The sequence below is a fragment of the Homo sapiens genome, chromosome 5 (assembly GCF_000001405.40).
Source record: "Homo sapiens chromosome 5, GRCh38.p14 Primary Assembly".
Lineage (NCBI taxonomy): Eukaryota > Metazoa > Chordata > Mammalia > Primates > Hominidae > Homo > Homo sapiens.
The window spans coordinates 3,462,545-3,477,057 of record NC_000005.10 but is presented as its reverse complement, the minus strand read 5'-3'; the positions used below and the strand labels follow the sequence as shown (position 1 = coordinate 3,477,057).

Genomic DNA, 14,513 nt, shown 5'->3' with positions numbered 1-14,513 from the left:
CCCAAATGTCCAACAATTATAGACTGGATTAAGAAAATGTGGCACATATACACCATGGAATACTATGCAGCCATAAAAAAGTGATGAGTTCATGTCCTTTGTAGAGACATGGATGAAGCTGGAAACCATCATTCTCAGCAAACTATCTCAAGGACAAAAAACCAAACACCTCATGTTCTCACTCATAGGTGGGAATTGAACAATGAGAACACATGGACACAGGAAGGGGAACATCACACACCGGGGACTGTTGTGGGGTGGGGGGAGGTGGGAGGGATAGCATTAGGAGATATACCTAATGCTAAATGATGAGTTAATGGGTGCAGCACACCAACATGGCATATGTATACATAGGTAACAAACCTGCACGTTGTGCACAGGTACCCTAAAACTTAAAGAAGACCACACTCTCTTTAACCACAAAGGACCACATGGCAGGAAGGCCACCATCCCCTTGCGTCCTAAGGAGAACGAAACCCCACAGCTTTCCCAGGAACCTGGGAGGGAGAAGCATCCCCAGGAATGACTGGATGAAATTTCCTTCCATGGAAATAATATAAAGTTAGAGCTAGATTTTCTTTTATGCCAAAAATAGTAGGAAAAAAACCATATGCACACATAAACATATGCATACATAAACATATGTGTATACACACAGATCATAACTGTACATCTCAAGGGATTTTATTTAGCATATAGATTAACAACTAGAGTTTTTTTTCAAACCTCAGAAGAATTCCCTGCCAATAAACATGGTTACTTTTCCTTCCCTATGTATTTTCATGCTGCCCTTCAGGACCTTTGTTGAATTCCAGATAAATGGTCTCACACAATGTGTATTCCTCTGTGTTTGTCTGTTGGTCAATGTCTATCTATTGCACTGAGTAGTTCACCCTTAATATTTATTGGATAAATATGCCAAAATTTATTTATTGTCTATACTGTTGATGAACATTTGAGTTGTTCCCTTGTTGGATTGCTATAAGTACAGTTGGATTTTTACAAGTATAGTTGTATCAGACATTGGTGCACATTTGTACTAGTTTCTCATGGATATGAATCTAGGAGTGGGTTCTGTGGTGGGCGTATGTTTGTTTTTGGTGGATACAGCCAAAGCAAAGACATTGTGCCAAGTTGCATTTCAACCAAGAATGCATGAGTGACAGTTGCTCCCCACATCCATCCACACTTGGTACTTTGGGTCCTAATTTTAGCCATCCTGGGGGGTGTGTATCTGGTAGTATCACATTGTGGTTTAACTTGAGTGTAACTGATTTGTATTGACATTGAGCTTTTCATAGCTTGCTCACCATTTGGATATTCTTTTCTGTAAAGTGACTGCTCAATGCTTTTTGCTGATAAAAAAATTGGTAGTTTTTTAAATTGATTTACAGGTGCTTTTTAAAATATATTCTAAACAAGAATCTTTTGCTGTATTGCAAATGCCTTATCCTAGACTGTGGCTTTTTTTTTTTATTTTTTTTAATGGAGTTTTTCCATGAACAGAAGTTCTTCATATTAATAAAGTATAAATCGTCTTTTTTTATTTTATTATCATATTTGCTTTTTCTGTATATGTCCTGTTTAAGAAATCTTGGCCTACCCCAAGGACATAAAGATAATTTCCTATGTTTTATTCCTGAAGCTTTATTATTTTACTCTCCACAATTCGTCCTAAGACATTTAAAAAAATAATGTTTGCATTAATTATTAATTCATTCTAAGACATATTTAAAAATAATTATGTGATGAAAGGGCCAAGACTTATTTTTCCCCTTATGGATACATAACATCTTCACCACTATTTACTGAAAGAGCATCCTTTTTCCAGTGAATTTCAATGGTGCCTTTTTCATAAATCAGGTGATTTGTGTATGTTTGTATGTGTGTGTGTGTGTTTCTGAACACTCTTCTGTGCAATGATCTATTGTCTACCTTTGGACAATATTTCTCTGTTTTGATTTCTGTACCTTTATAGAGAGACTTAATCTCTGTTACTACAAATTCACTAACATGTTTGTTGTTTAGGATCATATTATATTCTAAGTCCTTTGCATTTCCATGTAAATTTTAAAATAATCTTGTCAATTTTCTTCAAAAAGCCAGTGAAAATTTAAATTCTGATTACATTGAATGTGTTGAATGGCATCAATATATGGAGAACTGACATCTGAATACAACTGAGACCTCCAATCAAGAGCATGGTCTATCTCTCCATTTATTTACATGTTAGGTTAGGAATAAACCTAACATACTTTGGCAGGATTATTTCTAAACATTTGGTGATTTTGATTTACTGTTATAAATTGTATTTTAATTTTAATTTTCAATCATTTGTTGCTAGTATATGGAAATATTATTGAGTTTTGTATATGAATCTTGTATCCAGCAATATTTTGACAACTCACTTCCTAATTTCAATAGTTTGTTTATAGATCCTTTTGTATTTTCTCTATATGCAATCAAGCGATCTGCAAAAATGACAGGCTTGCTTTTTCCTTTTCCATAAGAAAGCTGTCAATTTCTTTCTAAGGGCCACTGTTGTATATCTAAAAAGTTTTAATAATATTGGGCGTTTAATATATTTTGGTTCAAAATATTTTTAATTTGTCATTGTGATTTCTTCTTTTATGCATATGTTATTTAGAATAATGTTTAATTTCTAAAGAGCTGTACACTTCTTTGTTATATTTTCCCCATAAGTATACATTTTATTCTTATTTTCTTTCATTATTAATCTGGCTGGGATCCCCACTATAATGTTATACTGATAATATAATATGATAGTGGCCATTTGTGTCTTTTTCCCAACCATCAGAGGACAAATATTTGATAATTTACCAATAAGAATTATGTTTCCTGTTCATGTTTTATAGATTTTTCTTATGGGATTGAGAATGTTCTATTTTTTTTTAAGTTATCCTAGGGCAGTGAAGTCTGTCTCAAAGATTTTGGCATATATTTACTTAATCATATCCATTTTTTTCTTTTTGCTAATAAAATGAATTGCATTGTTTGATATTCAAATGTTAAACCAACCTTGCCTTCCTGGAATAAACTTCACTTGGTTATGATATTTATTTATTTTACATATCATCAAGTTTGATTTGCTAATATTTTGTTTAGCTTCATAATGATGTGCTCATGAGAGATATTGGCCTCTGATTTTCTTTTTCTGCCATGTTTTTGCCAAGTTTTGGTGTCAGGGTTATGCCGACCTCAGAAACAAATTGTAATATGTTTCCCTTTTCTCTGTTTTTTGAAGGAGTTTGTATAAATGTAGTATTATTTTCTTCTTAAATAAGTGGAAGAATTAAGCAGTGAGAACATCTGAGTCTGTGACATTTTCTATAGAAATTTAAAAATTATGTGTTCATTAAAAAAAGTAGATATAGAACTAATACTTTGTCTATTTCTTGTGTTCATTTTGATACTTTTTAAAATGAATTTGTTAATTTCCTCTACACTGTCAAATTTATCAGCATAAATTAGTTTATAATATCCTCATTATTTATATTTTTCTAAAATTTAAGAAAATTGTTGTAATAGCTTCCTTTTCATTTCTTATGCTGCTAATTAGATTATTTTGGCTTTAAAAAATCTATCTTGCTAGGGGTTATTTATTTTATTAATCTTTTCCAAGAGCTACCCTTAGACTTTGTTGATGTCTTCTATTATATGCCAGTTTCCTATTTCCTTGACTTCTGCTTGTATCTTTCATTTAATTATTCATAGTCTTGTAGATTTTGAGTTGGTAGCTTACATCATTAATTTTATATATTTCTTGTTTTCCAAGGTATGCATTTGAAGCTGTCAATTTCTTTCTAAGTGCCACTGTAGTACACCTAAAAAGTTTTAATAATGTTGAACATTTAATATGTTTTGGTTCAAAATATTTTTAATTTTTCACTGTGATTTCTTCTTTTTTGCATATATTATTTAGAATAATGTTGCTTAATTTCCAAAGAGCTGTAGACTTCTTTGTTATATTTTAGTTATTGATTGCTAGTTTATTGCTACTATTTTTAAATACCGTAACTGTGTGCTTTCAATCCTCTAAATTTTGTTGATTCCTGCTTTATGGACCAGAGCATGATCTGTTTTTAAAAACCTTCCACATACACGGAAGAAAAGTGCTACCCCTGCAGTTGTCAGGCTTAGGCTGTGTGTCAGTCACATAAAATTGGTTTATTGTGTTATTTGAATCTCCTTTATAATACAATTTTCTTCTCCATGTTGTGTCAATTAATGAGAGAGGTGTACTAAACTCTCCAATCAAAATAATAGATTTATCTGTTTCTCCTTTTAGTTCTGTCCATTTTTGCTTTAAATAATATGAAGCTATGTTTTCAGGAGCATAGGAATTTAAGATTGTTGTGTCTCTCTGTTGACCTGACTTATGATCTTGAAATGTATCTATTTGACACTAGTAACACTTTTTTTGTTGAAATCACTTTTGTCTATTATTATTGTCACTGCATCTATTTTGCTTAATATATATGATGTGTCTTCTTCCATTTTTAAATGTCAGCACATGTGCATTATATTTCTGGTGACTTTTGGTGGTTAAAAACTTATATATGCATCTTGCTTCTCTTTATTCAAACTGACAATGTTTTTAATTTTTTTAAAATAAGATTTAGCTCATTTATATTAAAAGTATTCATTTATATAATTGGGTCTAAATCTACCATCTCACTGTATACTTTCTACATTTCCTACTGGATTATTTGTTCCTTTATTCTTTTTTCTTATTTTGAATTAATCAAATATTTTTTCCCATTTACTCTCCTCTGTTATCTCTTAAATTTTACATAGTCTTGTATTACCTTTTTTAGGGTTTACCATAGAAGTTTCAATATGCATCTTTAAATTATTGCAGCCTAACTTAAGTTTTGCTTTTGTTATGTTTTGAACAATATCTCATAATTTACCCATGCCCTTTTTTTCTAATCTTATTATGTTCTTTTATATATGTCAGTCTCCCACAGAATAGTATTATTTTGTGTATAACACTCATTATTCTTGTATATTTGCCCACATATTTGTTCTTTCTGGTAAATTTTATTTTTTCAGCAGTACCATACTCACATCTAGAATCAGTTGAGTCCAGGAAAGAATTTTCATTTTCTAATTATTATTATTACTATCATGTTTCTTATAGGATGAATTCACTCAATGTTTGCCTGAAAGCATTTCATTACATATTTTTACTCTAAATTAGCTGTATTGAGAGACAATACAAATCCAATAATATTCACCAATTTTAAGTGGAATCAGAACACATAATTTTTCCATCACCTCCCAAAATACCCTTGTGTGGTTTTTGAGTCAGTCTCCTCCTTTTTGGCTCAGTCCTTTGCAGTCACTGATCTACTTTTTGTAAGTATAGTATTTTACTAGAATTCTGTATAGTCACATTCATTGAACACAATGCATTTGAGAGTCATTTATATTGCTGTGTACAACAGTACTTTAGTCCTGTTTATTGCTGACTAGTATTTTGATATAGGGGTATACCACAATTTATTCATTCATTCACCAGTGAAATAAAATTTGGGTTTTTTTTGTTTTTGTTCATTATTAATAAAGTTGCTATGAGCATTTATGAATAAATACTTTTTATTACATGCTTTTAATTCTTTTGGAAAAGCACTTAAAAGTGAAATTGCTTGGCCATTTGGTAGGTATAAAGTTGTATAAAAAGAGCAAAATATTTCCCCACTGGCTATACCATTTTACATCCCCATGAGAAATTTATAAGAATTACAGCTGCTCTTTATCCTCATCAAAATTAGTATTGCCGGTCTTTTTACTTTAGCCATTCTAGTGACTGAAGACAGGTATTCTATAGTGGTTTTAATTGAATTTTACCTAATAATTGATAATTTTGAGCATTTTTTGTTATGACCATTTTCAATTCCTATATTCTTTTTGATGCACTATTAAAAACTTTACCTTTTAAAAATTTGATTATGTGTCTTATGAATATTGTGATATAACAGATTTTAAATATATTCTGAACACAAATTCTTGTTCAGATATATATTTGCAAGTGGTTTCCAGTTTGTGGCTTCCCTTTTCTTTTTCTAATGGTGTCTTTGAAAAGGCAAAAAAAATTGATGAAATGTAATTTATTGATTTATAACTTTATAATTTGTGGTTGCCTAATTCAAGGTCATAAAGATATTTTTTCTAGAAATTTTATAGGTTAAGCTCTTACATTTAGGTGTATTATTCACTTCTAGTTAATTTATATGAATGGTGAGAAGTGGATGATATTTATTTTTCCAAATGGTTATCTATCTTTTCTAAGACAATATGTTAAAAACTATATCATTTCTTATTGTATTACACTGATATTTTTGCCAAAGATTTATTGATTATATATATGTGGGTATATTTATAGACTCTTCATTATGTTCAGTTAATTTATATATGTATTCTTATACCAATACCACGCTGTCCTAATTACTAATTTTAGAGTAATGCTTAAAGTTATATATTAGAAAGCCTCCAAATTTGTTGTTAATTTTAAATGTTGATTTGGCTATTCTAGATTCTTCATTTACATGTAATTTAAAAAATCAACTAACCAATTTCTACAAAAGGGTTTGCTAGACTTTTGGTTGGAATTACATTAAATATATAGATCCATTTGGAAAGGCTAGATATATTATCAATATTGAATCCTATGCTTTGTTAAATTCTTGAGTATTTTATAATTTTAGGCTACTATATATGATACTTCTAAAACTTTTAATTTCTAAATATTTATCATATATATAAATGCAATTGATTTTCATATATTGACTGCTATCATTTGAATGTTCCCTCCAAAACTTATGTTGAAATTTAAATGCCATTGTACTAGTCTAAAGAGGTGGGATCATTAAGACCTGATTAGGTTGTGAGCGCTCTGCTCTCATCGATGGATTAATGCTATTATTGTGGGAATGGGTTCTTTATCACAAGGGTGGTTTCCTTATGAAAGGATGGGTTTGGCCCCCTTTTTTTCCTCTCTCTTGCCCTCTCTTTGCCCTTACAACATGAAGTAATGCAGTAAGAACACCCTGAAAGATCAATTTTGGACTGCCTAGCTTCCAGAATAATGAGCCATTAAATGTATGTTTATGACAAATTACCCTGTCCATAATTTTCTGTTATAGCGCCATAAAATGGACTGACATTGACCATCTCGCCTATGACCTTGATAAACTCACATATTAATTCTAGTAGCTTTTTGTACATTTTTCAGGAATTTTACAGAAATGTTTAGGATGCCTGTAAGTGAAGAGTTTTATTTTTTTCCTTTCTAATCTAAGTGCCTTTATTTATTTTTCTTGCCTCATCATGCTGGCTAGTATCTCTAGCATAATACTGAATAAGAAATGATGAGTGTAGGGCTGGCAGGGTGGCTCACGCCTATAATCCCACCATTTTGAGAGGCCAAATAACTTGAGGTCAGTAGTTTGAGAACAGCCTGGCCAACATGGTGAATTCCCATCTCTATTAAAAATACAAAAATTAGCTGGGCATGGTGGTGCACACCTGTAGTCCCAGCTACTTGGGAGGCTGAGGTAGGAGACTTGCTTGAACTTGGGAGGCAGAGGTTGCAGTGAGCCAAGATCGCCCCATTGCACTCTAACCTGGGTGACAGGGTGAGACTCCATCCATCTCAAAAACAAACAAACAAACAAACAGACAAAAAACATGATGAGTACAAACAACTTTGTCTTGGTTCACCTAATGATAAAAAAAAATTGTCCTTCACTATGAATATATGTTTGTTGTAAGGTTGCATGGGTTCTCTTTATTGGGCTAAAGGAATACCATTTTATTTCTAGTGTGCAGTTTTTATCAATATGAGAATGTTCTCTCTGCTTCTATTTTGTGGTGTGATTTAAAAAGTCTTGAATGCATCTTGAATTTTTTCAAATTCTTTTTTGTATCTATTGAGGTGATCATATGGTTTTTATTCTCTAAGTCTGTTAGTATGGTCAATTACATTTATTGATTTTTAAGTGCTAAAACAACGTGGTCTCCCTTAACTAAGCCATATATTATAAAGTGTTATCCTTTTCATATATTTCTGGAACCAGTTAGCTAAAAGTTTTGATAAGAATTTTAGTGTGTGATTTTACTTTTATAATGTCTGTGTCTGATCTTGGTGCCAGTGTCATGCTAGTTTCATAAAATTAGTTGGAAAGTTTTTACACCTGCTCTGTTTTTTTGGAAGAGTTTGTGTAGGGTTGGTATTACATTTTCCTTTAATGTTTGGAATAATTCACCATGCTAGCCATATGAACATGGGTTTCTTTATAAGCAGGTTTTTAATATACATTCAACTTCCAAAATCATTATAGGGCTACTATGTGATCTATTTTTTTCTTAAATGATTTTTGGGATTTTGTGGTGTTCAATAAATTTGTTCACTTAATCTCAGTTGCCAAATTTACTGGTATAAATGTACTTTCCTAATATGTTTTTATTTTTCTGTAGGATTTATAAGAAAGTACTCACTTTCATTTCTGTTATTGGTGATGTGTTTTCTTTTTTTTTTTTTCTTTCTTTTCAACTTGTCCCAACGTTTATCGAAACTGTGTTGATCGTTTGAAGTGATCAAATTAAATTCTTTGAGTTTTTAAAATTTTATGCGTTTTCTCTTTTATTGATTTCTGCTCTTATTTTTATAATTTTCTTTCTTCTGCTACTTGAGTTTCATTTGCTCTTTTAAAAAATATATATCTTTTGGGTAGAAGCCAAAATCATTGATTTTGACATTTCTTATTTTCTAATATAAGTATGTGACCCTATCAAATTAACTCTTTTCATGGCTTCATCTATGTCCCAGTTATTTTGATGTTTCTTTTTCATTTTTGGTCAGTTTAAAATATTTTCCAATGTTTCTTGTGATTTATTCTCTGATCCATATTTATATTATTGTGCATTATTTAATTTCCAATTATTTGTGGATTTTTCCAGATATCTTCTTGTTATTTATTTCCAATTTAATTGCATTGTGTATGTCAGTCCTCTTAGGTTTACAGAGATTTTAAAATATAGATATTTATATGTACATATTACATATATAATATATAATAAGATACAAATTTATAAATATATACAATAAAATGTGAATATATATAGTGATATATATTTTAAGTGCATTCCTTGTGGCTACTTATATTTTGGTCTTCATTACAAAAAATAATCTGAAATTTTTTGCCTTTTGTGACATTACAGGCATTTATATTTAATGTAATTATTGATGTTGTTGGATTTAAATGTGTCATATTACAATTATATTTTTGAGGCCAGGTGAGGTGTCTCACGCCTGTAATCCTAGAACTTTGGGAGGCCGAGGCAGGCAGATCACCTGATGTCAGGAGTTCAAGACCAGCCTGACCAAAATGGTGAAACCCTGTCTCTACTAAAAACACAAAATATTAGCTAGGTGTGGTGGCATGTGACTGTAATCCCAGCTACTCAGGAGGCTGAGGCATGACAATCACTTGAACCCGGGAGATGGAAGTTGCAGTGAATAGCGATTGCGCCACTGCATTCTAGCCTGGGCAACAAAGTGAGATCTGTCTCAAGAAAAAAAAAGAGATAAAAAAAAAAAACAACCTAAATTATCTTTTTGGTCCTACCTGTTATTTGTTCCTCCATTTCCTATTTATTTGTCTTCTTTTGCATTGATTATTATTTTTTGATTCCATTTTGTTTCTACTACTATTACATAACTTTATAAGGAATACATCACCTTACAATAGTATACTTACAGCTTCCATCCCTTGTGCTGTTTTTGTCACACGTTTTAATTCTACAAATGTTATAAAATTCATAAGACATTGTGGATTTGTTTTGTACGAAACCATGAATTGTCTTTCAAATTTATTAAAATATACAAAGGAGCACTTTATATATCTGTCTATACATTGATCACTTCTGGTGCTCTTCATTACTTTATATAGATCCAAATTTCTATCTGGAACCATTTTTCTTCTGCTTAAATAATTTTAGCATATTTTTTCTTGTGGATGTCTCCTGTTCATAAATTCTCCAGCTTCTGCTACTGTAATAAATCTTTGTATCTTTTTTATTTATAAGAGATATTTGTGCTAGATTTTAAAAATTGAATTTTTTTCTCTTTTATTTTCTCTTCTTTTTTCTTTCCTTTCCTCTTTCTTCCTTCCTTCTTTCCTCCTCTTTTTTCTTTCTGTCTTTCTCTTCCTTTGCTTCCTTTTTTCTTCTTTCTTTCCGTACTAAAGGATGTCTCTACTGTCTCTGACATGTTCTGTTTCTGAAGAAAATCTATGTTTTTTCTTTTTTGTCCCTCATTACATAATGTGTCTTCTCTCCTCTGTTTTTAAGTTTTCTTCCTATTGCTGGTAGCAGAATTTTGATTATGATATCTCGCTTTTTTATAATTTTAATCTTCTTAGGATTTGTAAAATTTGTTGAATCAGCTATTTATAGTTTGCATCAAATTTATAAAATTTTGGCCATTCTATTTTTATATTTTTTCTTCATTTCTTCCTTTTTTCTGAGATTCCAGTTGTAGATGTGTTAGACTGTTTGATATTGTCCCACAGATTATCAATACTATTTGCATTTTATTTATTTTTTTATTTCTTTGCTTCACATTTAATATTTTCTGTTGCTATGTCTTCAAGTTTGTGATCATTTCTTCTGCGATGTACATTTTGCTGATATTCCAATCTAGTGTATTTTAAATTCAGACTTCCTAGTGTCTATGGAAGTTTCATGTGCCTTTTAGAGAACTTTTATCACTCTCTTTCATGTCTCTGTTCTCCTTAATTTTTGTGATCATATGAAGTATTTTTTGCATCTGTTTTATGTCCTTTTTCTTCTAGTTCCATCATATCTGTCATTTCTGAGTAGTTTTTATTAATTAACTCTTACCCTGGTTAGTAGTCATGTTTTTCTCATTCTTTCTTATTGAGTGCCAGATACTGGGTTTTGTGTTTGTTTTTGGTTGATATATTTTGTTGTATTCCTTTAGATACTATTACATTTGCTTCTGATGCATAGTTCAGTTATTTGAGTCCGTTGGCTCTTTTTGAGGCTTTTTAAAAGTGCTGTCAAGGTTTGCCTAGAGAAACTTTTGTTCTAATACTAAGTTAGTTTTAGTACTAAGATGATAACTTAGGAGGAGTCTATTCATGTACCCTTTCCATTATAACCTATGCTGGTGAAAACGCAAGCAGTTCTCTGCCCTGAGTAAACTCTAAACATGGTTTCACCGACTCTTTTTCAATTAATACCAAATGTATGCAGGTTTCTCTTTACCCCGGTTCCTCTGCACTGTCTCAGGCTGCATTGACCCCAGAGAAGAAAAGAGACAGTGCACGTCGAGTCACCTAGCAAGGACTCTTTGCTCTCTGGAATGAAGTTATCTTATCCTTAGTGCATTCACGGTTATCAAGTATCTGTACAGAATGATTTTCCCACGTATCTTGTTATTTTGAGTCCTTATAGTGAAATGTTAGCTTTCATGACGTATTAGAGTCAACCTGGAAAAATGGAAGATTGCTTACAGACCCAAGTCTGTAGGGAAAACAAATGTATTAAATCCATAGATGTATCTTTATGAAATGTGCCATACTCAACAAGGTAGATTGTTTATTAATTCTTACAAAAGAATAGAGCTCATGAGGTAGCCACATATAAACTTGAAGGAGTCAAAAGTTCTACCTGTTAAAACATTAGAGTGTATTGAAACATTAAGAATCTCCCCTCCAACTCTCAACCCAGCATCTCTGCACCTTGTCATTCACTTTGTGGGATGGTTTCAGGTCAGTGTGGAAATTGACCAGAAATGCTCATAAGAGCATAATACTTGGAAGAGATATAGAATTCTATAAGTATTCAAGTAAAGGAAGGGGGGAAAGCTTTATGAGTGAGTGAACTTGGGATACATTTGAGATAGGTAAGTAAAATATGTGAATCAGAAACCGATCAGGTGGGCAAAGTGCATTCTAGATGGAAGAAACAGAATGAGCAAATCCATGGGGTCAAATGGTAAGAAAGATGATTTGGGCAGAGAAATGGAGATAAATTAAGACTTTTTGAGAAGCAAATTGTTATTCCTTTGGGAAAGGCCTTGGTGGCCAAAGAGAAGCATGAGTAGTTCTTTACTGGCAGATTTAAATGCTCTGAGGCAGAAACCATGTGTAGGTTTGTGTATTACTAAATTCGTGGTGGAGTCTCAATTTATACAGATTAGATTTTAAACTCAGTGTGGCAGGTAAAATTGTGAGCTGCTGAAAGTACCTTTTAATAATCTCTTCATTACTCCATTAAATATGATATACAGGAATACTGTCTCTTAAAAATTCCAACATCACCAGTTTTCTTCCAGCCCTGTAATAGATTTCCATATTTGAGAACAAGATAAAGTCATTGGCTTATGGACAGGAGCCACATTATATAGAAAGTTCATATCTGTAATAAGCAGACTAACTCGCTCTCAGCACTGAGGGAATTTAGTAGAGTTCACACATGTTAATTGCATGTAAGTTGTGGCTCCACTGGGATCTCATTAGGATGGATTGTGGTGGAAGATACTGCAGGTAGTGTGATGACTGGGGAGGCTTTCTGACTTCCAGGGGAAAAGTACCTAAAATTTCACTTGTGGCCCATTTTGAAAGGCTTGACAAGTTATTTGGTTTGAGTGCTGAGAATGTCAATGGTGAGAAGAGGCAAAAAAAAAAAAAAAAAAAAAAAAAAGACTTGCATGAGGGGAAGATGACGGAGCATTCACTAGAATAGGAGGCTCAGCCGTGCGGCTGCTTTCTGTGCAGTGAGGGGAAGGGCGTTGTGTTGAAGATGCTATGGGCTATCCAGTTAGTGATGCTTGGAGGACAGAAAAATACAGGGCTGGACATAGGAATGGCTAGATCTCCAGACTGACAGCTGTCTGCACATATCATGTTTGAAACTATGGCCTTGAGTAAGACTATACAGACTTAGCCAGAGATTAATAAATGGATTTATAGTTCAGAGAAGCCTTGGCATACTGGTAAGCATTACTTTTCCCTAATAGGGTCTACTAAATTTCATTACGTAGACCTTGGAAGATATGACCCAAGCCATAATCTCATCTCATGCAGCAGTAGCTCTTCATCTGTTTGCCCTCAGTGGGTGTTCAGGTAGGGAGTGGTTGTTATTTGCTGACCCTGATCTTACATGCTATGTCCCTAGAATGAGTATGTCAGCATGTGGCCAAGCCCATCTCATAGGACTGGTGACAAGTATTCATTCATTCATCAGACAGAAACTGATCACCTTGAAGTCACCAGCCGCATACTGAAATATCAGACCAGAGAAACTGATCAACTTTCAACTTCAGCAAAAGGTGTTTGAGTTTGGCCCCTCTGACAGACAAGTCATAATTCTGATTTTACTTAACTGGAATGGTAGAGAGAATAATGTGACATTTTATTTGCACAAAGAGTACTTTCCAATATCCCATTGTATATGCAGTATATAATTCACTAAGATCCTTGTCATGCTTTTCCTAATTATTTCTTTTTTTGGGGGGGAAAGTTATACAATTCATTTTTATAACATTTTAATGTAAAACTAACACCATATTATGAGCAAGATATCATAGTTTACATAATTCCCTTGGATTTATTGCTTGCGGTTCTGTGTATTACTCATAACAATATCACACATTAAAAATTGCTTCTCTACCTTGCCCATTATATTTATAGAGAGGGTCATAATTACCAAAGTATTCATTTTCAAAGTCTTTTGGTTTGACTCCAGTCTCATTTATTGTGGTTGCATTATTTCTGTAATGCTGTTTATTAGTTGCTGCCAATCAATATCATAATACATTTGCTGTGTTGCAGCCAAGTCATATAATAGATATAAAATTCTGTGAGTCACATCTTTTACTACCCTGTCAGTTGCCTGAGAATGAAACTAATTGAAAAATTTCTCCATATGCATTTAAAAGAGGCATATATTTACTGTGACATGGGCAGAGACAGCTCAGATTTGGAAGAGAGAACGCCGTTACCATATAGCAGGCCTCATTTTTCTCACTGGTAAAATCAGGTTCACCTATCTCAGGGTTTGTTAATCTAAGGTTTGCAGAGCCCGAATTTCCTTGGAGCCTTAGGGGAGGTTCTGAGAATTTGGGATCCCTCTCCACTCATGCCAACAAGAGCAGCTACACTTTTGTTTCATATATTGTATATGTGGATGTAAGGATCCATGCATAATTATGTTTGAATAAAAGTTCCCATGAGTCTAATATTATATGATTTCATGAAGGAAAATACTTAGATTCCTATCGATGTGACAGAAATAATAGATCATGAGCCCGTGGAGCTCTTTGTGTGAATGCCTGGATATTTGGAGGTACCTGAGGATGAGTGCAGGAAGCGGAATCTCGTTAAAATGAAGGAAGCTCACCTTCATGCGTGTACTGAGCATTGCTTCCTGGGGAAATACGATGTGTTGAGACAGTGTCC

At 32.7% G+C, this 14,513-nt stretch overlaps 1 long non-coding RNA gene across 1 annotated transcript in view; it reads left to right on the top strand.

Moving 5' to 3' along the window:
• Window positions 1-14,513, top strand: part of LINC01019 (long intergenic non-protein coding RNA 1019) — a 118,943-nt gene that overhangs the window by 59,037 nt on the left and 45,393 nt on the right. The window lies entirely within an intron of this gene.